The sequence below is a fragment of the Homo sapiens genome, chromosome 16 (assembly GCF_000001405.40).
Source record: "Homo sapiens chromosome 16, GRCh38.p14 Primary Assembly".
Lineage (NCBI taxonomy): Eukaryota > Metazoa > Chordata > Mammalia > Primates > Hominidae > Homo > Homo sapiens.
Window position 1 is genome coordinate 88,450,403 of NC_000016.10, and position 24,711 is coordinate 88,475,113.

The 24,711-nt window shown below is 63.0% G+C and overlaps 1 protein-coding gene and 1 non-coding gene across 4 annotated transcripts in view, besides 12 other annotated features; both read left to right on the plus strand.

Moving 5' to 3' along the window:
- Positions 1-1,366: 1,366 nt before the first annotated feature.
- Positions 1,367-24,711, plus strand: part of ZFPM1 (zinc finger protein, FOG family member 1) — an 85,263-nt gene continuing 61,918 nt past the window's right edge. For 2 of the 3 annotated variants that reach the window (XM_011522914.3, XM_047433667.1), the window contains exon 1: positions 1,367-1,536. In XM_011522914.3, coding sequence (XP_011521216.1) covers positions 1,398-1,536 — 139 coding nt within the window. In that variant the 5' untranslated portion in view covers positions 1,367-1,397. Of the gene's footprint in view, positions 1,537-2,877; positions 3,277-24,711 lie in introns of those variants that run through there. The other variant, NM_153813.3, reaches the window with a different exon arrangement.
- Positions 2,603-2,902: a silencer, noted in NCBI's record as "silent region_7849". NCBI's record gives its function as "represses an Ori minimal core promoter by ATAC-STARR-seq in GM12878 lymphoblastoid cells {active_cell/tissue: GM12878}" and the evidence as "EXISTENCE:reporter gene assay evidence [ECO:0000049][PMID:35858748]".
- Positions 2,913-3,002: a silencer, noted in NCBI's record as "silent region_7850". NCBI's record gives its function as "represses an Ori minimal core promoter by ATAC-STARR-seq in GM12878 lymphoblastoid cells {active_cell/tissue: GM12878}" and the evidence as "EXISTENCE:reporter gene assay evidence [ECO:0000049][PMID:35858748]".
- Positions 3,463-3,592: a silencer, noted in NCBI's record as "silent region_7851". NCBI's record gives its function as "represses an Ori minimal core promoter by ATAC-STARR-seq in GM12878 lymphoblastoid cells {active_cell/tissue: GM12878}" and the evidence as "EXISTENCE:reporter gene assay evidence [ECO:0000049][PMID:35858748]".
- Positions 3,813-3,882: a silencer, noted in NCBI's record as "silent region_7852". NCBI's record gives its function as "represses an Ori minimal core promoter by ATAC-STARR-seq in GM12878 lymphoblastoid cells {active_cell/tissue: GM12878}" and the evidence as "EXISTENCE:reporter gene assay evidence [ECO:0000049][PMID:35858748]".
- Positions 4,823-5,532: a silencer, noted in NCBI's record as "silent region_7853". NCBI's record gives its function as "represses an Ori minimal core promoter by ATAC-STARR-seq in GM12878 lymphoblastoid cells {active_cell/tissue: GM12878}" and the evidence as "EXISTENCE:reporter gene assay evidence [ECO:0000049][PMID:35858748]".
- Positions 5,563-5,622: a silencer, noted in NCBI's record as "silent region_7854". NCBI's record gives its function as "represses an Ori minimal core promoter by ATAC-STARR-seq in GM12878 lymphoblastoid cells {active_cell/tissue: GM12878}" and the evidence as "EXISTENCE:reporter gene assay evidence [ECO:0000049][PMID:35858748]".
- Positions 5,873-5,922: an enhancer, noted in NCBI's record as "active region_11351". NCBI's record gives its function as "activates an Ori minimal core promoter by ATAC-STARR-seq in GM12878 lymphoblastoid cells {active_cell/tissue: GM12878}" and the evidence as "EXISTENCE:reporter gene assay evidence [ECO:0000049][PMID:35858748]".
- Positions 5,953-6,082: an enhancer, noted in NCBI's record as "active region_11352". NCBI's record gives its function as "activates an Ori minimal core promoter by ATAC-STARR-seq in GM12878 lymphoblastoid cells {active_cell/tissue: GM12878}" and the evidence as "EXISTENCE:reporter gene assay evidence [ECO:0000049][PMID:35858748]".
- Positions 9,746-10,249: a silencer, noted in NCBI's record as "fragment chr16:88526556-88527059 (GRCh37/hg19 assembly coordinates)". NCBI's record gives its function as "represses an EF-1alpha promoter that drives an FKBP-Casp9 reporter gene in an ReSE screen in phorbol 12-myristate 13-acetate-treated (for megakaryocytic differentiation) K562 erythroleukemia cells {active_cell/tissue: K562(+PMA)}" and the evidence as "EXISTENCE:reporter gene assay evidence [ECO:0000049][PMID:32094911]".
- Positions 11,401-12,316: an enhancer, noted in NCBI's record as "H3K4me1 hESC enhancer chr16:88528211-88529126 (GRCh37/hg19 assembly coordinates)". NCBI's record gives its function as "activates a minimal SCP1, AML or CMV promoter by ChIP-STARR-seq in primed H9 embryonic stem cells {active_cell/tissue: H9 hESC(primed)}" and the evidence as "EXISTENCE:reporter gene assay evidence [ECO:0000049][PMID:30033119]".
- Positions 11,579-11,873: a silencer, noted in NCBI's record as "tiled region #3966; HepG2 Repressive non-DNase unmatched - State 17:Gen3'". NCBI's record gives its function as "weakly represses a minimal TATA promoter and a strong SV40 promoter by Sharpr-MPRA in HepG2 cells {active_cell/tissue: HepG2}" and the evidence as "EXISTENCE:reporter gene assay evidence [ECO:0000049][PMID:27701403]".
- Positions 11,579-11,873: an enhancer, noted in NCBI's record as "tiled region #3966; K562 Activating DNase matched - State 1:Tss". NCBI's record gives its function as "activates a minimal TATA promoter and a strong SV40 promoter by Sharpr-MPRA in K562 cells {active_cell/tissue: K562}" and the evidence as "EXISTENCE:reporter gene assay evidence [ECO:0000049][PMID:27701403]".
- On the plus strand, positions 18,516-18,629 carry MIR5189 (microRNA 5189). The gene has a single exon (NR_049821.1). It is a non-coding gene; the product is annotated as a microRNA 5189 (primary transcript).

The window sequence follows — 24,711 nt, forward strand, 5'->3', positions numbered from 1 at the left end:
CCAAAAATGTCTTCTTTGGGCTGAGGTTGTTTTTGGAGGGGAGGCAGTCTCCAGGCCACTGCCAGACAGCACTTCCTATGTGTTCCAGGCCCTGCTCTCCCTGGGAGCCAGCAGGGGAGAACCCAGTGCAGCTCCTGAATGCAATTCCAACTTCCCCACCAGTGACTTTGGATGTGAATCTCAACACACCTCGAGAACATGCAGGGGCAGATGGAAACTGGGGTTCACAATGGGCAGCAGGTGGGGGGTGGAGGTCCTAGGTGGGCTCAGCCTGGACAGCCTCAGCAACCCCACGCCCTGTTCCTCTCCCACCTGATCAGGGACTCCTGGAAAGCCCCACTTGGATGTCACCTTCTCCAGAAAGCCTTCTCTGATTTCCCCAGGCAGAGATGGCCGCTCCTGCTCTGGGCTCCCCCAGACCATCCTCTAGACAGCATGCCTTGTGTCTCTTCCTCAGTGTATGGTTATCGTCATGACCACCCTGAGGGTTTAATGGTGTGTGCAAGGTCCTGCAGCTTTACCACTCGACATCAGCAGGCAGCCTCCCCTCTTGGCTGCGGTTTTCTCATCTGTAATAATGCCTTCCTCCGGGCAGGTAGAGGGACAGAGTGTAGAAGGAATGTGCTACAAAAGCAGCCCTGGCAGGGTTAGGGGACCTGTGACCGGTGCAGGGGCACAGGGCCCGAGCTGGGAAGGGCACCACACCGGGCTCAACATCCTGCCCTTGATGCCCTGGGGTTTTGGGGTTTGGGGGTTTTGATCAAGGGGGCTCCACATTTTCATATTTTCATTTTGCATGGGGCCTTGCAAGTGATGGAGGCAGGGCAGCAGGCTGTGGTCTGGACCTGCCGCCTGCCCCCTTCGCTGGCTTCCCTGGGCATGTCCCTCCATGTTTTCATCTATATATGGGCTCATAGAAATAAATCAGATCAGGCAAAGCAGCAGCCAAAATGATCCCCATCGTCTCCTCCTGCAGCCTAGACAGACATCAATCATGGATGATCATGGCTGTCTCCTGTTGACCCTCGGAATCCACCTCAACACAGATCTCCGCCCGTTCCAGCAGCGCCAGCCTGGGTGCCACTTGCTGTGCGTGGAGCTTCAGACCCAGCCCAGGTGCCAGCCCATGGCCACCTCCTCCAGGAACTCCCCTAACTCACAGGTCCACATACTCTAAAGTGGACTTCTTTGGGGAAGGAGGCGAGGCCTGGTGGGAAACCCAGACAGGTAGGTGCTCCATCCAGTTGACAAGCACTGGGTGGGGGCGGGAGGGTGGGGGGGAGGTCCTAGGTTGAGTGAACCAATCAGACATGGGCCCCACCCCCTCCAGAGAGCAGCTGTGGGAAGGCTGTGCCCACTGGACCCTGGCAGAGAGCAGGAAGGGCTGGAGGACCCGTATGCCCCTGGGCAGCTCTCTTGGCCTCCTGGTCTCAGTGTTCCTGTCTGTCCATGGCAGTGGGGAGGGACGGCGCATATCCAGTGTTGTACCCCTGCCTCTCCTACCCACCCGCCACTCTCCTGTACCAGGCTCTGAGGGTAAGCCCCCACTTCTCCCCTTCCTTGGAGCCAGGGAATAGGTCACAGAAGTTGGCACGAGATGGGGTCTTAGGAGCTCCCAGCAGGCTGGCGGGTGGTGTGACAGTCCTGCTGTGCGATGATCTCATCATCAGGTGGGAGGGGTCCTTCCTGTCTGCCCCTGGGCCCACTGACGCCCGTTTCTTATGAGTACGGGGGATGGGGGAGCAGGTAGCAAGTGTAGACCGAGAACATTAAAAGGAGATGATACAACTCAGCTGGGAGTGGGGGACAGCCCCCCAATGCGTGACCTTGAGCAAGTCCCCGAGCCTCCGTGAAGTGGGGCTCTTGAACACACCCCAGAGGGCAACAGTTCTCCATTTCCAGGCCTGAGCTGACAGCACCGCGCCCACAAACCTCGCTGACCTCTGACTGCTCCGAGAGGGGGCTGTGGCCCGGGCGCTGTGGGCAACTCCTTCGTGGGTCTCCTGCGGGGCGCCCTGGAGAGGCTCGGTGAGGAAAGAGGCCCCAAGTGGCAACGCCCAGGGCTGCCGGCTCCCGCGCCCCCTCCTCGATTTCCAGCCTGGTCTGAGCTCACAGGGGAAGACCCGAGATCCTGCTCTCAGTTGGCGGACCCCACCGCAGTCTGGGACGGAAGCCCCCTCCCTGGCCCGAATCCGCTCCACACCCCAAGTCTGGCCCAAGAGAAACGTGGGCGTCAAGGCCTCGGGCTTCCTGAGCCGGTTGTCACTGCCCCCACCGCGCACGTGGAGCGTGCGGCAGAGCCCAGGGGTCTAGGGAGGGACCAAGGGCTGGGGGCGGAGTTACAGTGCGGGGGCGGAGCCTCGGCGTCTCAGGACCCAACCAGGTCGGGTCAGGTTTGGAGGCGGAGCTGGCGCCGAGAGGCGGGGCGCAGGATGCGGTGCCGCGGGGCAGCAGAACAGAACCGAATAGGTCTCAGACTCCCAGCGCGGCCTGGGGACATGACCTCCGGGCCAAAGAGGAGTGGGGGAGGCTAGAGGTCTCCCCGGGGCGCGGGCGGGGCCGAACCAGGAAGGGGCGGGGCATCGAGCGGGGCGGGGACAGTGCCTTGAAGGCCCAGACGGACAGGGGCGGGGCCGCAGCGCTGGGGTCGGAGCCAGCGCCGTAAAGAGCGAGGCGGGCGGGGGCGCGGTCGCGGCTCTGGGGGCGGAGCCAGAGCAACGAAGAGCCGGGCTGGCGGGGGCGTGGCCGCGGCGCTGGGGGCGGAGCCGGAGAGGTGCAGGGCCCGGCAGGAGGCACGGGGCGGGGCCGGAGCGCCGGGGGCGGGGCGGGAGGTGCGGCGGCCGACGACGCTCAGGCCCGGCCCCGCCCCGTGCCTCCAGCCCGCCAGGAGCGCCCTCGCAGTGGCCGCCTGCTCCGCCGCTCGCCGCCCGCGGGTTCCATTGAGAAAAGCCGAGCGGCCGCGGCGGCGGCGGCGAGTGCGCGGGAGCGGAGGAGCCGGCACCCGCCCGTCGGGCAGTCCGCGCGCCCGCAACGCAGGACCGTGGCCTCTCGGGCCTCCGCGGCAGCTCCAGCGGCTCCGGGGCTGGGCGCGCGGGCTGGGGGCGCGGGCCGGGGCGGCCGCGGAGACCGGGGGCCGGGGGCATGAGCGGCCCCGCGGCCCCGCCGCGCCCCCGCCGCCCGCCGCCGCCCGCCCGGGGCTAGAGGCGGCCGCCGGGAGGGCGCGCGGCGCCGGAGACATGTCCAGGCGGAAACAGAGCAACCCCCGGCAGATCAAGCGTGAGTCAAACTTTGCCCGCGGTCCCCTCCGCGCGCCCGACCCCCGCCGGAGCCCAGCCGCCAGCGCCGCCCCCGCCCGTCCCCGCTCTGCCCTGGGCGCCGGCGACCTTCACCCCGCGCCGCGCCCCCCGCGCTGTGCCAAGCGCGCCGTAATCTAATCTCCGCCGGCGGCCTGGGCCCCCGCGTCTCGGCTTGGGCACCGGGGGGTTCAGCCCAGGAGGGGGCCGCCCGGAGGCCGGGAGGAGGGTGTTTGGGGGCGCGGCCCGGGCAGCTCGGCCCCTCGCGGCCTGCCCCTCCCCCGCATCTGCGAGATGGTGCGGCGATAGGGCGGCCCCGATCTGGGCTCAGATAAAGTTTAAAATATTACATTCTGCAAGTCCCGTCCTGATAAGATCGTTCTGTCGGGACGGGCTGAAATTGTGATCTTATCTCGCGCGGTTGACTCTCCCAGGCTTTGTATCTAGAAGCGAAGAGAGAGACCTGGGAGGCAGAGGGGACACCCGGGGCCGCGGAGATGCCTGGCCAAGTGGCAGGCACCGGCCCGCGCCCACCCCCACCGGTGCCGTCGCAGAGCCGCAGGACAGGGGAGGGGGTAGCGCGCAGCTGCCGCAGCCTAGGCACTTGGCTCCAGCCCCCCAGACACCCCCACCCCGTGCCCTAGCGCTGAAGTCCTGAACCCAGGCCCCGCCAGCCTGGTGACACCTCCTGGACCCTGCAAGTGTCCCAGCCAAGGCGGCATGGGCAACAAATGGTGCCCTCGGATGCCCGCGGGCACCCCCTGGCATCCCAATGGGCTGCTCTGAGTCAGAGAAGGGCCTCCCAGGACGCAGCCCCGGGCCGGGGTCGCCCCTGCACGCCACTAAGTTTCTCGCTGGTCCGGCTCCCTGCCCGGTCAGAGGCTGCTGCCCCGCCGCCACATTGCCAGTGCCCCCGCGATGAGAACTAAGCTGTCGGGGCCACTGTCTGGCCTGGGCCTCTGGGCTGTGCCAGGAGGGAGCAAGAGCACAGGAAGCTACCCTCCCCACCCTATGCCAATAATAACTTTGCGCCTCACAGTTAGGGCCCAGACGCAGGTCTTCCTCCCCGGGGCGCCTCCCCGGAGCCTGACGGGCAGGTCGTCTGAGCCCTGCCAGGAGGCCACGACGGAAACCCGCCCGCTGCCCAGCCGTAGGCGCCCGGGCACTACCTCCTTTGTCCACACGACCACTGCCACCAGGACCCCTTGTGCGGGGCCTGTGGGAGCTTCCCTACTCAGGAGGTCTCCCGAGGCGGGGGTCACAGGCATGAACCGGTTCCCGTAACCCAACTCCCTCAGCGCAAACGGGACCTGTTTTCCGAAAGTCGCCTTCTATCGTGTCAACTCAAGTATTAAAAGCCACCCACAGGTCCCGATCCGCGCTTGTGCTCTGGTTTCTTTTTCCTTCCTTCCCTGAGCGCCTATGTTCGGTTCTGGGGTGTGTGTGTGTGTGTGTGTGTGTGTGTGTGTGTGTGTGTGGTGTTTCACTGTGATGAGAAATGCAGATAGCTCGGACAGGGAGATCGCAGGTTGGAAACCGATCTCCAGCGCTGATAAGGCCGCCAGCGCCAGCGAGAGCCCGTAGCCCAGCCCAGCGGGGCGGGCAGAGCGCGCGCACTTTGGGAACTGGGACCGCGGCGGGTGCACGGTGAGCCACCGCGGCCCATCCTCGTTGCGGCCCGGGACCGGGGCAGAGAAAGGGCCCGGACGAGGAAGGCAGGGCCGCGGACCCTCCCTGTCGCTCGCGGCCCGGGGCGCCTCCTCCCCATGGCAGATCTCAGCACGTTAAGATGCGAAGGCTGATTGTCACCAAGCGGCGGCGCCCGCCCGCCCGCCCTCTTGCCAGCGCCTGTGCCTGCCCGCTGCCCTGGCCTCACCTGCGGCCGGGCCGCGAGTGCAGAGCGGAGGGGGCCGAGCGCTTCGGGCCGCCCACCCCCCACCCGCGCCCCCATCAAAGCCCTGGCGCAGCTGCCCGCGCCTCTGTGCGCCTTTTGTTCCGTGCGGAGATAGATGTGCCGCGCTGATAAGGCGCGCAACCGATGGTGGCTGAGATAGGCGCTTCCATTTATTAACTTCAAACGTGGGAGCGGGGGCAGGGCGAGGCGGGAGCGCGGCCTTGGCCGGCCAGATGGCGGAGGCGATAGGCCGGGCTGCCGACGGGGAGCGCGGGGCCGGGGCAGCTCGGGACCCCCGGCGCCCCCAGCCCGCTGGGTTTTCCTCCCGCCCGAGTCGATGTGAGCTCCGATAAGAGCCTGGCCGGTCGGCCCGATGGCGATCGCCAAGAGCGATAAGAGGCCTTATCTTTGGCCACCAGGCCCGGCCGGGTTGGAGAACAGCGCGGGGGCGCCGCGACTGGGGCGAGTGGGGGCTTGGAACGGCCCGGGTTGGGGCCGGGGAGCCGGCGTCCCTGCGCTGGTCTGTCTGGGGGAGTTTTCTCCCCAAACACACTTAATTGCCAAGAAGTTGATCCTCCCCTGTGGCCGGTGGTACAGTCCGTCAAAATGAAAGAAAACTGGCTTTGCCCCGGCCAGGAGGGGGAAGGGGGAGGACACCCCGCCCCGAGTCCTCGTAGATGGTGCGAGACCGCTAGAGGTGGGTTTGTCACCTCCAGAGGGAGAGAGGGTGTTTTCCCCTTGAATCATGCTGGTGTTGCTGGTAGTTCCTAGCAAGAACCAAGTGTACACTGCTTGGAGTTTTCTTGAAAAAAAAAAAATCAAGGTGGTTTCCATGGCCCAGACTGCTTTGGGGGAGGCCAGTGTACCCTGGTGTGGAGGCGCTGCAGACCTGCCTGGGCTGAGCACTGTTTGCTGAGCACTACTGCATACAGGCCCTGGGTCCCAGTGGCAAACGAGAGGGGCAGAGGGGGCAGCCAAGGGGAGCAGGGGGCACGTCAGGTGGTCAGGGACACTTCTTGGAAGGGGGTGACCTTTGGCACAGTAGGGCTGGCCTCAGTTTTCCACTGCTGTCGGGGGAGCAAGGGCTGAGAGGCGCCTGGGGCTGGGGGGCCAGCCTGTGCCAGCAGGTGCGAGTGAGGTCGGGAGTGATGGAGTTGGTCAGGTCCTTGGTCTCCCACTCTGAAAAATGGAATCAGGAATAGGTCCCCAGGGCTGTGGGAGTCCCCAGGTCAGGCTGGAGATATTGAGGGTCCACCGAGGCACTTTGCAGTGGAAGGGCCCATGGATCCCACAGGCCAGATAGAACCCTAGGCCATCTGGGTAGGGCCTTCCGGAAGGAGCCGGGGAGGGAGGGTCCCTGAGCCCCTCCTATTCCAGCCCAGGCAGCTGCTGCAGCTCAGAACAAGGTGTTTTTCACACACTCTCAGAGTTTGATTAAACAAATTATTGGTAACCACAGGATGACTAATTCACTCCAAGCTTCAAAGTCACCCACCTGCTCTCCCCAGCAGCCCAACGCCCACCCGTGGGGCTGGCAGTGCCATCTGGCAAGGGCCATTTCCAGTTCCAGAGAGGGCTGGGTTGGGCCCAGAGGGAGATGGGGTGGTTTCTGTGATGTGTTATGAACATGAGTGGGATGTCAGCACAGAGCCATCCACACTGGCCTTCCATGCGTGGGAGGCACCCGGGTGTTGAGGCTGTCAGAGGCCACCTTACCATGCTCATGACCCAGAGTGGTGGCAGAGCATCCAGGAAAGAAGGGGCTTTGGCAGCCTGGCTGACCCTGGTGCTGAACCACAGGGGACAAGTTACTGTGCTTTCCACAGCTCTCAGTTTCCCCCTGTTGGAAACATGGATATGATAGTGTCTGCCATCCAGGGGCTGCAGGTCCTGCTCTCAGCTTACCTGGTCCTTGGCCCAGTTGCCTCGTCCCCAGTCACCATCCTGAGGGGAACGGTGCCTGCAGCCTGCTTGATGCTTAGGCTGCGAAGCCATCATTGTCATCTCAGAGTCCTGATCCCAGCCACGTTTTTCTCTCTTTCTCTCTCTTTTTTTTTTCCTTAGTTAAAATTTTTTTACAAAATAGACATGGAGTCTCACTACGTTGCCCAGGCTGGTCTTGAACTCCTGGGCACAAGCTATACTCCCAGCTCAGCCTCCCAAAGCACTGGGGTTCCAGACACGAGGCACCGCACCTGCCCTCAAGCCACATTTAGCAGAGGGAATTAGAGATCGGGAGGTACTCTCAAGGCCCCCCACCCCTAAACCTGGACTCCAGCAGGGTCTGGCGGACCCCGGAGTCCACGCCGTCACCCAGCTCTGGGCCGATTGTGGTTTACCCCCTTTCCTGGGCCTTAGGGAAGGCAGACAGCTCATGATCATTTGATGGTAAGAATAATATTCATAACAGCCAATGCTTAAGAGCCCTCTCTGTGCCAGGCTGTGTATTAACTTAAAGCAGGTCCTCTTCTGATCACTATTTTACATCTGGGGAAACTGAAGCACAGAGAAGTTTCTCGCCCAAGCAAGTGATGGAGCTAGAGTTGGAACCCAGGCGGCCGGGCCTGCGCTCCTTAAGGGTGTGTCCGTGAGCACCGCGCTGCCTTCTCTCCATCCTCCGGCTTCTGTCTGCCCTGCCACCCTGAGCCTCTCTCAGCCTCAGTCTCCACATCTGTGAAATGGGCCTTTGGGACCAGAGGCCCTCTGAGGTCTTTCCCCAGATGGCCTCCTTCCTAAGACATGACTGCAAGGGGGAGGGGGTCCCCTGGGAGGCTCATCCGGGCCTTCCTTGGGCCTGGGACTGCCGTCAGCCCCGCCAGCCCCTCCCTGGAGGTCACCAGGAACCCAGTGTGGCATCCAGCACCACTGGGGATTTAAATGGGTCAGTTGGAGAAGAAAGGAGGAGGGAATGTGATGCCATTAATTGTGCCCCTTATCTCCTGTTTCTATGCCAACCAGACGTTCCTGGGCTTGACGGGCTTGTGAATAATACTCCCGCTGGCCTATCTGCCATCGACAGCCTCCTCCTGGAGGCAGCTGTTGCCTGGCCGATTGGTATCACCAACCCCATGGACCCGGCCCGGCCACACTCGGGGCCCTGGTGGGGCTCCTGCCCACCTGGCCACCATACCCGTGGGTATTCCTGGAGGTGCCCAGTGGCTCCTGACCCCATTTCACAGAGGGGGAAACTGAGGCTACAGCCACAGGTCTGCTCTCCAGACCTCGTCTGCCACCCTACACTCAGGCAGGAGTGGCCCAGACTGAAGGGAAGGGGGTTCCAGAACCTGCAAAGGGGTCATCTGCGCCCTGCCTGGTGAGTCCCGCCACTCTGGATGCGCTGTCCTTGCTTGTGTCATTAGGAGGCAGATGACCCCATGGGTGAGGGATCAGCCACCTGCAAGCTGCAGGCAGCGCATGTGGCCTTATGGACCAGGGGAGAGCCGGCGCCCGTCAGGGCTGAGCCCCTCGTTAGGGCCTGTGTGCAAGTCGAGACTTGGGTGGCTCCTCTGTGGCTCCTTTTGGCCCCTGGAATTTGCCTGTGTGCAGGCGGCCCCCATGCAGCTCCTTCAGAGGCCCTGTCCACACCTGCCTGATGGCCTTGCCAGCCCATCCTGTCACCCACTCCCCGCTCAGGCCCACAAGCTCTCTGAGAGCAGGACTGGGTCAGTCCCGTCCCCACAGAGTGGGCCTCCCGGAACTCTGTCAGATAAATGACCAGAGGGACGCTCAGCTCAAAATAGACATGGTCTGCTCACACCACAGCTCTGCCACTTACTGGCCGTGGAACTATGGGCAAGGCCTACCCATGTGAGCCTCCGTTTTCCCATCTGCAAAGTGAGCGTAATGATAGTACCTGCCCCCTGAGCACTGTTGTAAGAATGGAAGGAAAATACCTGTTATCCGAGACAGCTGCTACTAACCCTCTCCCCCTCCTACCCTTCTCCTTCCTCCCCTTCCTCCTCCTTCTCTTCATTCCCCCCTCCTCTTCTTCCTCCTCCCCCTCCTCCTCTTTCTCCTCCCCCTCCTCTCCCTCCTCCCCAGCAGCCTAACGCCCACCCATGGGGCTGGCAGTGCCCTCTGGCAAGGGCCTTCCTCCTCCCCCTCCTCCCCTTCCCCCTTCCCCTCTTCCCCTTCCTCCTCCCCCTCTTCCTCCTCCTCCCCTTCCTCCTCCCTCTCCCCCTCCCCCTTCCCCTCCTCCTCCCCCTCTTCCTCCCCCTCTTCCCCTTCATGGTCAATCACTTGGGTGAGATCTGTGGTTTCCAGCTTATCTGAGATGGAGCAATCCCTCTTCCCAAGCTGTCTCCCAGGACAGCCCAGCATGTGAAACACACAGGGGCCCTGCCTTGGAAGGGCCCCTCAACCCTGCTGCTCACATAGCTCACTGCGCTGGCCCCAGGTTCCAGGTCAGGGCAGCCCCTGACACCCACCCTCTAGCTGGCTGGCCCTTCCCTCCAGCGCATCCCGACTCCCCAGGCTGTGTGGCCTTGGCATACTCTTGCCCTCTTGGGCTGGGGCTTCCCTTTGGCGAAGGCAGCGAGGAGGGGCTGAGATGATGCTCCTGCCTGTGCCTGTCCACCTCCCCACCCGGCTCTGGGAGGGTCTGGACCAAGCCAAGCCAGAGGGGTTTTGGGTCCAGGCAGCCAAGCGAGAGGCCCAGGGTTTATCGAGGGTCCCCAGCCTACTGTTGGCAGGGCCCGGAGAGCAGTGGGCTGCTCTCAGCCTGGGAAGGTGGGTCAGGAGGAGTGGGGTTCTTCACAGGAAGGCACACTGGCAGTTCCTGGGGAGCTGCCTGCCATCTTTCTGGGCCCAGGCAGTGTCATGGTGGCGGCCCTCCCTGCCTCGGTTGGTTCAATGGGCATACCCATTTTTCAGATGAGGATGAAAAGGTCCTAAGGGGCCAGGACTCAAGTCCTGCCCTGGTGCGAGGAAGAAACAGGGGAGATGGTCTGGTCCTGCCCTCTGCCCAACACCAGCCTTCATGTTTAGCACGTGGCACTGACTTAAGGACCCCAGAGTGAGGATGGAGGGTGTGGCTCTCAGCCAGGTGGCCTCAGCCAATGCCCACCTTAGAGACTCCGCTTTAGAGTGGGAATAACAGGGTCCCTCCTATCCGAGCTGTGTTGGGTAGTCTAACAGGGCTGGTATACAGTAGGTGCTTAAATAGCAGCTGTTTGGAGCAGACCCCTGGTCCCGCGTCAGGAAGAGGACCTGACTTATTCATGCCGGGTGACATGGTGCTCCTACTCCCGTGGGCCTCGGCCTCCCAGCTGTTCATGGGGCCACTGGGCAGGCTAAGGACTGAGGGATGGGAGGCCTGGTGAGGACCGAGGGGCGGGGCGGGAGGCCTGGTGATGACCGAGGGGCGGGGCGGGAGGCCTGGTGAGGACCGAGGGGAGGGGCGGGAGGCCTGGTGAGGACCGAGGGGTGGGGCGGGAGGCCTGGTGAGGACCGAGGGGCGGGAGGCCCTGGTGAGGACCCAGGGGCAGAAGGTCTGGTGAGGACCAAGGGGCAGGAGGCCCTGGTGAGGACCCAGGGATGGGGCGGGAGACCTGGTGAGGACCGAGGGGCGGGAGACCTGGTGAGGACCGAGGGGCGGGGCGGGAGGCCTGGTGAGGACCCAGGGGCGGGAGGCCTGGTGAGGACCCAGGGGTGGGGCGGGAGGCCCTGGTGAGGACCGACGGGTGCGAGGCCTGGTGAGGACCAGGATGCTTGCTGGGGAGTCCCCAGGTTCCCACCCCATCCCCACCGCAGGGGCTTTGCCCCGCCACCTGGGCTGCACCCTCAGGGCTCCGGGTGGTTGCCGGCCTTCAGCTCTGGAGAGGGAGGTGACCAGTCTGGGGACCGCTTCGGACAACAGCGCAACCTCACGTCCTGGCCTGGCCTTGCTGTGACCCTTTGGCCAGTGGCTGTATCTGGGGCCTCTGTTTCTCTCTTGAAGGAGGAGCTTGATGAGAACACCTCCTTCCCGGCTGTTGTGTGGGGTGCAGGCTGGGAAGGGCTGTCCTAGGGACACGTCTGTGAGGGACTTTGCTGCCTCTGGAGCTGCCGGTTGCATTATTGATATTTTGCCAAAAGCCCTGAGGGTTGGACGTTAAGCAGAGTCCCGCTGGCCCTCCCCTCCTTCAGGCGTTAGGTTTTGAAGGGAGGAGGGACTCTGCCTGAGTGTGCCACGCCCTGGACTGGGCTGGCCTCACACCCCAGCCCCGGCTGTCCTCTTCTTGCCCGGAGATCTGACCCACTGCTAAGATCATCGTTGGCACTGGCCAACCCATTTTACAGGAGAGAAACGGAGGCCCTGGAGGCGTGACATGTGTGAGGTTATGTGACGTGGGAGCTGGGGCCGTGGACCCTGGGGGTGGGCCCAGGTTTCTCTGGGCACTGCCCACTCAGCACCCCCAGGCCACCAGCCCTACTGCATCGGCCGGCGGCCTCCCCATCTCCTCCTCCCTCCCCAGCTGCCTTGTGTTTTGGGGGAAGGCAGTGGTCCTGCTGAGGCAGGAATGTGGTGGCTGATCTTGGGCAGAGCCGCGTGAGCAGATAAGCAGGCCCCTCCCCTCAGCCTCCTGTGCCTCCGTCTGCTTCCCCAGCTTCCCCTGGGCTGCTGGCTGTGGTCTTGGGAGCCTCAGCTTCCCCGGCTGTGAAATGGGTGTTGGGGGCTGGTGGGCAGCTTCCGAGAGCTCAGGCCCTGACTCCCCTGGTTCCCTCAGTTCCCCACCTGGAGCTGAAGTGAGCCCGGCGTGCTGAGGGCTCCTGTCTGCTAAGTGCCTTACGGGCATCCCCGTTCTGCCCTTCTCCAGACACCACTTAGCTTTGGGTTCTCCACCCATTTCGCACGTGAGAAAATCGGGGGTCAGAGAGGGTGGGTGGCTGCGCTAGAGTCTCACAGCACACAGTGGTGCTCTGGCTGTGGAGGCAGCGGCAGGGCAGGGTGACCCTGCTGTGCCTAGGACCTGCATGGCTGCCTGTGCCTAGGACCTCCTGGACTGTCAGGGGTGTGGCTTCCTGAGAAGGAGAGGGCAGCCACCGCGGGCTTCCGGGTTGTTCCGGGAGCTTCCCTGTGGGCCGCCATGGTTGGAATCCTGGAGTGGAGAATCCTAGACCCTCTGTCATTATAGGGAGGTTACCTTGCTTCTCCAAGCCTCAGTCTCCATCTCTGCAAAGTGGGGGTATCGTAAGGCACCAGGCTGGGCTCCAGGGTTGCCCGGTCTTCGTGCAAGTCACTCAGCCACCCTGAGCCTCAGTTTCCCCACTATAAAATGGAGCAGTGATGCTCACCTCACGGGGCTGTGAGGAGCGATGCCACCCAACACGGGAGGTGCAGCCCGGGCCAGGGCCCCCTGTGGTCTGTAACAAAATCCACACAAACAGGGCAGGGGCCCCCCTCCCCTCCCCAGGTTGCTGACGTCCCTCAGGTGTCTCTGTCACGGCTGGCCTTGCGTGGGCCCACTCCTTCCCACTTCCTTCTGGGCACCTGCACCCATCACCGCCTCCTGCCCCAACTTCCCTTTTTTCCATCAAGCTCCCACTTCCCAAGTCAGACCCAGGGAGCAGGAGCGGAGGAGGCCCCAGGGCCAGGTGGTCGTGGCTCCTTCCCGAAGTGATGCATGAGGAAAGACCTGCTGGGTAGTCCTCCGGGGACAGGGGACAGGGCCTCACGGTTGATGGCGCATCTATCCTGGACATCCTCAGCCCCCAGTGAGGGACCAGGTGCCTGCAGCTGCCCCCTCAGCCTCTCTTGGGGTTCCTCTGGCAGCAGGCGCCCAGACCCTCGTGATGGGAGGGGAAGCCAAGACTCAGAGCCATCAGTGGCCACAGGGCCCTCCCCCGGATGTGACCCCAGGACCTAAGCCGCTCTCCACACTCAGCCCCCAGGTTCACCGGTGTCACAGCACCTACTGGGCATTTACTAGGCCCCTGCCTCGCACTAGGCCACCGTGCCCAGGATTTGATAGACGTGGCCTCACGTCCTTCTCCCGGCAGCCTTTGAAGGAGGCCCAGTGTGCAGATGGGGAAACTGACGCTTAGAGAGTTTCAAGGTCAGCCCCAGCCCCGGAGCTTGAGCTCCTAGATCTGGGCGGGGAAACCACCCGGCAAATATTTTGAGGAGGGAACGAGAGGAGGGCAGCAGTGGTGGTTTTCATAGGAGACCTTTCCCTGCTCCCGCTGGGCCAGGGGACGCCCGTCTTCAGGCTGAGGAAACTGAGGCCTTCCTGTGTCTCTAGGCAGATCCAGCTCTGGCCTCAAAACTGTGTCCTCTGGCTGTGTGACCCTGAGCAAGTCCCTTCCCTGCTCTGGGCCAAGGTGGCCACTGCAGGGCCTTAGAAATGTAGGAAAGAGATCAGAGCCACGGCTAGACCTGGCACACGTAGGGCAGGGCCAGCCCTGGGCACTTCCAGGAAGTCCCAGACCATGGGATGGGGCTCCAGCCAGCCAGGAGCCCTTGATCGAGGTGTTTGTTCTATACCCCGTGGTCCATCGGTCAATCCTTGGGGGCTGGAAGGAATGGATTGGAGGCTCCTTCTTCCCAGTGGACAGAGGTGCTCTGTTTAGGGCCTGGGTGCCGCGTCTCAAGGAAGGGCCCTGAGGAGAGGTGAGCAGCCCCTCAAAATTTAAGGGTGCACTGAGCACACCTGGGCCCGAGGGGCCGAGGCATGTGAGCCGTGCCTAAGGTTGAGACCCACAGGGGCAGGGCCCCCAGGTGCCCCCAGGCTGCCTGTTTATGACTGATAGTTCCCGACTCCAGGCCTGGGCCCTGGATATGCTCCCAGAGGGGACGGGACACCCTGCAAGTCCCAAGGCAGGAGGACGGGGTGTTTGCACCTCAGTCCTGCTGCTGTCCCCAACACCACCTACCGTCTTTCCACTTCGTGGGCCTGGAACAGCTCAGGAAGGCTTGGGACTACCCCAGCCTTCTTGGGACCTTGAGGCAGTCAGCCTCAGTTTCCCCCATTGCTCATAGGCCCACACCCAGCTCCACCAAAACCAAACATTTTCCCAGAAAGCAGAGAGACCCCCTACCCCCGCCATGGCAATGGTCGGTGGGCACCCAGGCCCTCTGGGGCCCTGGCTCAAGCCGATCATTCCCATACCCTTCCAGCTCTACAGGCTGCGGCCTGGTCCGCCCTGCACTGTCTCCTGGTCCGGGCCTCTGGCGGGCACAGGTTTCAGCTCCTGCGATAACTGGGAAAGTTGAACTGGCCCCATTACTGCGCCAAGATGGTGAGTGAGATACAGCCTTGATAATGGAGGAGATACCAGCTTCTCGGTGGCCAATAGCCCAGCCTCTCCACCCATTAACATTCCCCACCAGCGATCCGCTGCCTATCTCGTCCATTTCCACTCCTCCCGAAGATAAGAATGGAAATTCTGACTTCATAGCTCACTGATTAAAGTGTCTGGATTTCTTGATAATACATAGATAAATTATGTTTTTGAAAAAGAAGGTAGGGAGGAGGGTGAGGAGGATGGGGGCCTGGGGTGGGTGGGAGCCCTTGGCCGTTTCTCCCAGCCTCTTTTGGCCCCTGGGCCAGACCATGAACCACAGAGCATCCGGCCTACACCGCAGCGGCCTCTGCACAGACCCCGTGTCCGGAGGTGCAGAGTTAGCTCACAGCAGGGCCCGGGCTGGGGAGACACAGGCAGGGCGCAGCGTCTGCTCAGAAGACAAACAGCAGAAACATGTCATAATGCTGGAAACAGGCTGGTGCTGGGAGCTAGTAACCGTGGCCCACAGGCCTGCGGGGAAGCCCTCTGTCGGGGAAGTGCCCCTCCCAGCAGCCTGGTGGTGGGCAAAGGGTGGAGGAAAAGCCAGAAGTCTGGGCCTGGCTGGCTGCGCCTGTCTTGGGCCATGTCTCTGTGCCTCAGTTTCCCCACCTGTCAAATGAGTGGGAGCACGGGGCCCTCCTCACAGCCTTGACAGCAATGCAATGCCCCAGGGTGGGCATTTCGCCTGTGTGGATCCCTGGTGTCCCCCTGGTGCCTAGAACAGTGCCCGGTTATACAGTAGGTACTTAATAAATGTGGAGGGCCCAGGCAGAGTCCCATTGGCCAGCTGGGGAGGGGGAGGGGCTTGCCTGCATTGAGAAACCCTGTGTGCTCCCCGGCTTGGCTCCCACCCTGTCCCCAGCCATCCCTGGCCCTGCTGCTGCACCTGACAGCTGCGCCCAGATGGGACTCAGGTGCCATCGCGGCGTCTGTCTGGATAAAGCCGCCTCCTTCAGCTGATCCGAGATCCGGCGCTGATGGAGCGATTAGCGGCGATTAGAGCCCGGCGTGCGGCTAATCCTCCTGCTGAGGGACAGGTGAAGCAGCCATAGGGGTGGAGGAGGGACAGGTGAAGCAGCCATGGGGTGGAGGGTGCCAAGGGGCCCGCCGTGCACGGGGGAAACCAAGGCCACGCAGCTACGATGTCTCCTTGAGGCAGTGGCCCGGCCGCTCCCTCGCTGGCAGAAAGGCTTCCTGTGGAGCCGCCTGGGCTCCCAGTGGGTGCAGGCCAGCTTGCCATTTCCCCCTTCCTGGATTTTATATTTTGAGTGACTCTTGAGAAATGAGATCCTCTGGGAACCCAAAGGCAGGATCCCTGGGGCGGTGTGGATGGTGACATTTCTGGGTGGTTCTGGGACCCCCAGTTGTAGTGATCCTGATGGCGGCCGTGGTTAGACAACAGCTCCGTTACCCAGCCCCGGCAGTTCTGGCATGGAGTACTCTGCAGCCCTGGGAGGGGCGCCTATGACCTCATTCTCCTCAGAGAACTGAAGGCTCAGCGAGGTTGAGTAACTCACCCAAGATCACACAGCATGAAGAGAACAGAAGGGACCCTGGCTTCTGGCTTAGAGTCTAGCCGAGGTCAGAGTCTCCATCCTGGCTGGAGGTTCTGGGGTGTTTGCAGTGGGGGGCAGCCCACGAGCCTCCCAGGGGGCTCACCCGTACCTTTCAGGGAGAAAGGCCAAGCACAGAAAGGGCAGGGGACGGCTGAGGGCCGCACAGCCCATCCTGGCAGTGGGAGGGGATGGGCGGAGGCTGGCCTGCCTCTATTCTTGTTTCTTGGGTTCATTTCATCTGTCCCCAGAAAATAAGCTCCTTTGGTGAGAAAGTTGGTTTCTTTCTAACTTTTGGGTTTGGTTTTGTTTCAATATTCTAAAAGGAAGTCAGCTATTTCCAGTGCAGTGGGGTGTGTATGTGGGGGAGGGGGGTAAATGTCAGCTCCAGTGACCAGCGTTTAAATCCTGCCCCCTGGCCGGCAGCCTCTCAGTTTCCTCACTTGTATCATGGGCATGATCACAGTTCCAGCCTCCTTGGCCTTTGAGGAATTAGGGCAGAAGTGGGTAAAGCATCTGGGGCCCTTGTGCGGCAGGGCTCAGTGAACCCCAAAACGGCGGTGGTATTAATGGGGGGACACGAGCCGGGGCGAGGGTCCCTGGGGTGGGGCCACCTCTCCAAAGCCCTCTCTGCCCGCAGCCCACCCTCCCTGAATCCTACTGGCATTCTTCCTGCACGGTTTTCCGCCAACGGCTACAGTGTGCCGATGACCTCAGTGATGTCACCTAGGGCCTCGTCCCATCACACAGCGGCCAGAGTGGCTCCAGAACATTTGTCCCTGTGATCCAAGAGTCTACCCCTTGTCAGTCCCCCATAGTTGCCACAGTCACCCAGACCAGGAGCCGCAGCAAACAAGCAGGGGGTACAGCATCTGTCCCCATGGCCCTGGTTCTCACACACATCCCAGAGTCTCAGGTCTCAGTTTCCTCATCTGTCAAATAGGGCCGACACCGCTAAGCCTGCCCTGCAGGCCATGGCCAACCCCCCTGAGGTCTCCCCACCCCTCCCAGCGGTGCCCACCCAGGGCTTCTCGAGGAAGGAGCTCAGCACCCGCCCCAGTGACACTTCACTTCTCTGGGCTTTGCTGCCTTTTCCTATAAAATGGGGTGCCAGTCGCCCTCTCAGAGTCCTTTCAAGGAGCTGATGGTGTAGACCGCGAGACCTGCCTTGCAGGGCACATGCGCAGCTGCTCCTGTCATGCTGGGACCTCCGGACCCCGGGCCTCGCAGCTGCCTTGGATCCCCTCCCTCCTCCAGTCACGGGCTCTGGGCTGGCTGCTGGGCGTGTTGGGCACAGCGGGCCCTAAGCTGACCCGTGCCCTTTGTGGCTGGGACCTGAGATGGGGAGGCCCCCACCCCCTAGTTCCATGGCTTTGGGAGGTGGGGGTGGGGTGTTTTCTACTCTACCACCCTACAACGAAAAAGAAGAAAAGAGAACTTGATAAAAAAGGGCGATGCGTGCTGTGCGGTGGAGGAGGTGCTATCGCCGTTATCTATCTGCTTGCTCGAGCTGAGCGGCCCCCCTTCCCCTTATCTCACCCCACCCTAATGCCAGGAACAAAAGTGAGAACACACTCTCAACCCGCACACCCGCGAGCCCCCCACCGCCCCTCACACACCCGCGAGCCCACCGCCCCTCACGCCCCCGCGAGCCCACCGCCCCGACCCACCCGCGAGCCCACCGGCCGCTGACGCACCTGCGAGCCCACCGCCCCTCACGCACCCGCGAGCCCACTGCCCCTGACCCACCCGCGAGCCCACAGGCCCTGACGCACCCGCGAGCCCACCGCCCCTCAAGCACCCGCGAGCCCACCGCCCCTCAAGCACCCGCGAGCCCACCGTCCCGACGCACCCGCGAGCCCACTGCCTGCGGCGCACAGAGCCACCAGATCTAGAGGGAGAGCTGAGCACTCGGGGTGCTCTGAAAGTCATCATCATCATCATTTTGCAAAGAAAGCCCCCAAATAGCCCTCCCTGAAACAAGGCAGCCAAAAATAAGAAGTCGCTCTCAACAGGCCCCCACAGGAGAAAAGAGGCCGGCCTTGGAGAGGGGTTGGGACTTGGGGCCAGGTCCCAGCTGTGCCGGCCTCTTGGCTGTACGACCTTGGACCAGTATCTTTCCCACTCAGAGTCATCCCTGAATGGATGTCAGGGAGCCTTCGAGGAAAGGGGAGAGCCTGCACTGTAACTGAAGCCCCCCACCAGCCCCATGCAGCTTTCTGACCCTAGACTTGGGGCTGGGACCAGTCACCCAGAATCTGATACCCCCAGGGCCCCGCCCCCCAGAGCCCCACCCCCATGGCCAGGGCACCACTGTCCTAACCAGCCTGTTGGCAGCCAATGGAAATGGGGTATGCAAATGAGCAGGGGTGAGGCCCAGGGATTGGCTGAGCTGCTGTGTGGGGGCAGGGCCTCCTCCAGGGGCTGCCCTTGACCTGGGGGAGTAGTTCCCATCCTGGACCCTGCCCCAGGACGGGAGACCTCTGCCACCACCACCACCGGCTCTGGAAGGGCCCGCCTTTTAGGGGCCTCGCTGTCTGGGCACAGGCGGATGGACAGGCTGGCCTCTGGATGACCTGCCAACCGTCAGAGCCCAGACCCACGTGGCCTCAGTTGGGGACCAGGACCCAGGAGTTCCCGAGAGGAGTGCAGCCAGCAGCCACTCCCAGATGGGAACAGCGAGTTTCACAACCCGGCAGGGACGGCCCTGGGGCCAGCCAGCCTCCCACCCCCATGTCTGGGCCCACTCCAGACCCTCCTGCAGGCTGCCCCCCACCGCTCCACCCTCTCCCCGCGCTGACTTCCATCCGGAACCTCATTCTGCCAAGCTTCTGAAGTGCCGGCCGGGCCAGGGACGTGGCACCATCTTAATGAATGACAGTCCCAACCCCTTTGCCCACCCTCAGCCTCCCCATCTGTAAAACCGGAAGGCGGTCTAGTAGGTCTGCCTCCCAGGATGGTTTCTGGGCTCTTCAGCAAGCCCCTTGCCGGCCTGGGCCTCAGTTTCCCCTTCCACACCATGAGGCTGAGGTGGCAGGTTCTCTGGGGGTCCTCCTGTCTGTGGCTGTGGCATAGCCTGGAAACCTGGGGTCTTCCAGATTTCCCATTGTCAGAAATTCATGTGCCAGGAGACCATGTCTACAGGGGGCTTAGGACACCTTAGGGGGCATGCACCTGTGTTCTGCATCCACCCACACTGCACAGTGGGTCTTGCTGGCAAGACCAGGATGAGGCAGGCTCCGCCGGCCTGAGACCTGGCTGGAGGCCCTGTCAGCTCCCACGGCACCTGAAAATCAGCCACAGGTGTGGGTGTTTGTCAAAAATGTGTAAGTGGAAAATAGTGGCGGGGCGAGGAGAGAAAGAGTCTGGGCTGAGATCTAAGGAGAGGAAGTAGGGAGGGGCCGTCCGACCAGAACCAGACATCACCTTGGCCAGGGCCCCACCCCCTAACGTGGGGTGCAGTGCCTCTCACGTGGTGAGGGTCAGAGGTGCGTGCCCAGCCCAGAGGATCTCCCCACGCAGCCCTCCCAGTCTGCAGAGGGGTCTCCACACATGCAGGCAGCTCTGTCCTCTCCCAGGACAGCTTGGGGCATACAGTAGGTGCTCCATAAATACTCCCCAGCTGATTTCTGGATCTGCTCCCTGTGCCTGGCTGTGTCCCCAGAGGCAAAGCAAGCAGAAGGAAAAAGGAAACGGAGAAAAAGCCAGGGCCTCCAGAGCCAGCATTGTCCTGGGCAAAGGCCCCTCCCGTGTAGGAGCATCGCCTGTGGAGAGCCACGGTCCTTGTCCCTGTGCTGGGGCTGTGACTCACTCCTGCGGGGTCCTTGCTGTCAGGGCCACCCCACCTGTCCTGGGGACAGGGCTGCTGGACGGGTTGGGGCGGGCAGCCTCTGGATGCCCACGGGTGTCCCCTGTACTCTCCAAACCTGTACTGAGTGCCTGCTGTGTGCTGGGCATGGTCCAGGGACCCCAGGTGACCTCATGGAACCCCAGCCTAACGAGGGAGAGTGAACACAGGGGTCTGACGTGCTCTGTGGCAGAACCACTGGGGAGGCTGTTGTTGGGGGACTGGTGGTGTGGAGGGCCGGGTGGTGACACTCAGTGACAGGTGAGGATGTGGCACGGTGTGGAGGGCCGGGTGGTGACGCTGAGTGACAGGTGAGGATGTGGCACGGTGTGGAGGGCCGGGTGGTGACGCTGAGTGACAGGTGAGGATGTGGCACGGTGTGGAGGGCCGGGTGGTGACGCTGAGTGACAGGTGAGGATGTGGCACGGTGTGGAGGGCCGGGTGGTGACGCTGAGTGACAGGTGAGGATGTGGCACGGTGTGGAGGGCCGGGTGGTGACGCTGAGTGACACGTGAGGATGTGGCACGGTGTGGAGGGCCGGGTGGTGACGCTGAGTGACAGGTGAGGATGTGGCACGGTGTGGAGGGCCGGGTGGTGACGCTGAGTGACAGGTGAGGATGTGGCATAGGGAAACACATCCTCGCCGAGCGCACAGTGGGAGCTCCGAGCAGGGGATGAGGTCGTCCAGGAAGGGGCGGGAGACGCAGCGTGACGCACTGACCCAGGGCCCAGCTCAGATGCCAGTACCTCACCCGGTGGGGTCCAGCCTCCGCGACAGGCATTCCCTTCCCCGTGTGCCCTTGCCAACTACATACTGGGCTGCCCAGAGGCTGCCTTCTGAAGGAGCGAGGGGGCCGGGAGGAGGAAAGCCCAGCTCCCCTGCAGCCATGATAGATAGACCAGACTTTTCCTCTCCACTTACTCCGCCCTGACCGCGATGGGCACTGAGAATTCAGACAAGAGCCGGACTCCCTGAGCTCCCAACCAGCTGACCCTCCAGGGCTGCAGCCATGTGTGACCTCCACCCTCGCGAAGGCCAGCGGCCGCAGGGTCTGGCTTGGGCTATAGCATCTAGGCTCTGAGATGACTGTGTCCGTGGCGGCTCCCGCTCACAGTTCAGGACCCCGAGATGACCGTGCCCACAGTGGCTCCCACGCATAGTGGGGGGGCCAAGACCCCAAGATGACCATGGCTGCGGTGGCTCCTGCTCACAGTGGGGGATGCCAGGACCCCGAGACGACCATGCCCACAGTGGCTCCCACGCATAGTGGAGGGGCCAAGACCCCAAGATGACCATGGCTGCGGTGGCTCCTGCTCACAGTGGGGGACGCCAGGACCCCGAGATGATCGTGGCTGTAGCGGCTCCCACTCACAGAGGTGGGGTCAGGGCCCCAAGATGACCGTGGCCGCGGTGGCTCCCACACACAGTGGAGGGGTCAGGGCTCCCGGCTCTAAAGCCACATGGCCTGGGCATGAATTCCTGCCCACCACTTACTCACACTGGGATCTGCCACAGACACCTGAGCCTGTGACTAAGACTAAGGCTGTGTGTCCATCTCTGTGAAATCGGGGCGAGGCCCCCGCGGGCTGGGAGGGCTCTGGGCCTCCGGCTGGCTGTGCACCATGTTCCACTGGGTTATTCCTGAGGGGACCTGCAGGTCCGCAAGAGCCTTGGGTGGGCCGGGGCAGGGGCCGTGTGGTCTGCAGGGAGTGGAGCCAGAAGCCTGGGCCTCCCCGGTAGGAGCCCGGCAGGGCCAAACCCTGATGGGCAGCGGAAGTCTGTTGGGGCCACTCTCAGGACAGGTCACCTCAGCTGGGCTCCCACCACCCATGGCCGCCGGTAACCCCACCCCATCTGTGGACCCAGTTCGTGGAGGGGGCGCAGGGCTGAACCCCAGCGAGCCCCAGCCTCAGTGTCCACACCCACAAGTGGCTGGAGGCACGGTGGTGGGCAGGGCAGGTGCCCACAGGGTGGGGCACACAGGCAGGGATGTGCCAGCTCTGCGCCTCGGTCCCAGGAGAAAGGGAAGAGGCACCAGAGCGCCTGCTGCCACCACAGCACAGAGAGGGTGGCATTTCCTGCTTTTTTGTTTGAATTTTCTTTTTTTTTTTTTTTTTTGAGACTGAGTCTCGCTGTGTCGCCAGGCTGGAGTACAGTGGTGTGATCTGGGCCCACTGCAACATCTGCCTCCCGGATTCAAGATATTCTCCTGCCTCAGCCTCCTGAGTAGCTGGGACTATAGGCGCCTGCCACCACGCCCAGCTAATTTTTGTATTTTTAGTAGAGACGGGGTTTCACCCTGTTGGCCAGGATGGCCTCCATCTCCTGACCTCGTGATCTGCCCGCCTCAGCCTCCCAAAGTGCTGGGATTACAAGCGTGAGCCACTGCGCCCGGCCTGAATTTTCTATTTTTTATTGTGGTAAAGTGTACATCACATTTACCATATTAACCCTTTCCCGTGTACAGCTCAGGACACAAGTGCATTCGGTGCTGGGAACCCAGCAGCAGTGGGTCCCCATAACTCCACGCCCTCCCGGCACAGGCTCTCCCTGATGGTGGCTCCCACCCTTGCCCCAGCCCCACTCCAGCATCCTAGGCTCCGCCTCTGTGGGTTGGAGGCTGATGTGTTAACTCCTGGTTTCAGGCGGGGCAGCAGGCCCAGGGCAGGCCTGCATCACAGAGCTCAGAGCTCTAGCGCCCCACAAGCTTCCAGGACGCCGCAGCCCTGGACCCCACCAGGACGAGGGGCCAGCTGGGCAGGAGGTCTGGGCGCAGGCCCTGCGGCGCTGCCGTCCCCCGTGGGACCGGGCAGCCTCCGTTTCTGCAGCTGTGCGGTGGGAGCAGTTGCTTTGCTGCCTGAGACCCTGGAACGAGGAAAAGGCTGAACTGAGCCAGAGGGCGTGACTTCTTCCTTTCTGAAAGGCATCTGAGGGTCTGGACACTAGGGTCCCCAGGTCTGGGGTGAATCCTGCTCCTGGCCCCCGGGAATCTCCGGGATGGCCCACTTGGAAGAGGATGGCAGGAACCACCCACCCTTGGGCTGTGGTTGGATGCTGTGAATGAAAGCCTGGAGTCTCCTGGGCTTGTGAGCTCACCCACCGACCCTCAGGCCTCAGCCCAGCTGTACAGCCACTGATGAGGGGCCCCTCTCACCATGGCCTTGAGGGCGGGGTGAGGTGAACCCACAGGCCTGTCCTCGAGGGCCGCAGGGCGGGAGGAGGGTCGGCTGCTAGGGAGGGCCATGACGGCCCCGCTGCCCCGGGGTCTGGGTGCTGCGCCCCACTTCTCCCATGGCCGGGCCCATCCTGGGGGACCCCTGCTCCCTTCCAGGGAGCCAGCTGCCTCCACCCATCTGACGCAGGCTGCGCGGCGATGGCTCCGTGAGCCGCGGCCCCCGCCCCATCTATCAGCCCTTATCACCCATCTGGGGAGGGGGGTCGCTCCCCAGCCCAGATTCTCGGGGCCGTGCTGGGACCTCTCCTCCTCCCTGGGCCTCCGGCGGGCTTGCAGCCGCGTGCGTGGCCTCAGCCACCCTGCCACACATATGGCCTGACCCCATCCTCACCTTCACCCTGTGCGGTGGTCCTTGCCCGCCACGGCCCCACGCGGCCTCGCCACCCCCACCCACATCCCATCCCTGGGCACCCCCTCGGCTCTTCCGCAAGGGGTTTAGTAATCGGTTCTCCGGAGTGAAGCAATCTCATGTAATCTATCAGTGGCTATCAGGCCCATCGGAGGGCCGGGAGTGGCCGGGCCCAGAGATGGCGCCAACCTTCAGCGTCGATAAAGTTTCCGAGTTCAGCGGTGATGAATGTTGAGTAAGCGCAGGCCGCACCGATAGGATGTGGACTTGGCAGGCGGCGGCTCCGGCTGAAACCAATCTCTCCCCTATCAGCCGGGCTGGGCTTTCTCAGGCCCCGGCTCTTTCTTCCCTCCTCCTCCGCCTCCCTTTCTCTCTGCCTTGCCCCGCCCGGGCCACTGCCCCTGGGGACACGGGTGGGGGACCAGCCCACTGGCCCTGGCTCCAGAGAAGGGGCAGGCTCAGGGCAGGGGGAGGATCCAAGGGAGCCCGAAGAGGTGGCCAGAGCTGGGGGGCTGCCTGGAGGTGGTGGCAGATGCAGCAGCTGCCCGGCCAGGGTTCCCCCAGCAGCCCAGGGACCCTACCACAGTCTGACAGATTTTGGCATTCTGCTCGGTGTCTGATGGTGGCTTCTCACGGTGCCCAGAATAAAACCCCAGCTCCCTCCAAAGCCTCCAGCCCCCTGCCTCCCCGCCACCCGCCTCCTCCCATCCCTGGGCCGTGCAGGGCTCCGTCCCACTTCGGGGGGCGGGGGGCTCTGTCTTCAGCGCTCTCTGCCCGGAGCTCTTCTCAGTCACAGGTAAAGGTTAGCCTCTGAGAAGCCCTGGTGACCACCCTGTCTGAAGCCAGCCCCCACGCCAGCCCGCTCTTCTCCATCCTGAACACTGTCCGAGCCTCCGCGGCATCCTCCATTCCCACACATAGGATGTTCATTTGCTCCGCTCTTAACGCCCCTGCTGCAGAACCCCCAGGGCTGTCGGGAACCCGCATCTGGGGCCTCTCTGCCTCCTGCAGAGCCTCCCAGCCTCTGTTCACAGCAGCTCTTCGAGACTGATGAGTCCATACTCGTTGGCCAGATGTGTAAACCAGGACCTGGGCAGCCCCTATGCCCAGAGCCAGTCGCCAGCTAGATTCCACTTGGCCCTGAATGGCAGCTGACCTGAGGCCCGTGCTGGGACCATGCAGGGACAGGTCTGGCTGCTCTCTGCCTCAGTTTCCCTACAGGCCTGTGCTTGATCCTGGCAGAGCTTCATAAACTGTGAAGGGCTGTGCATTCGT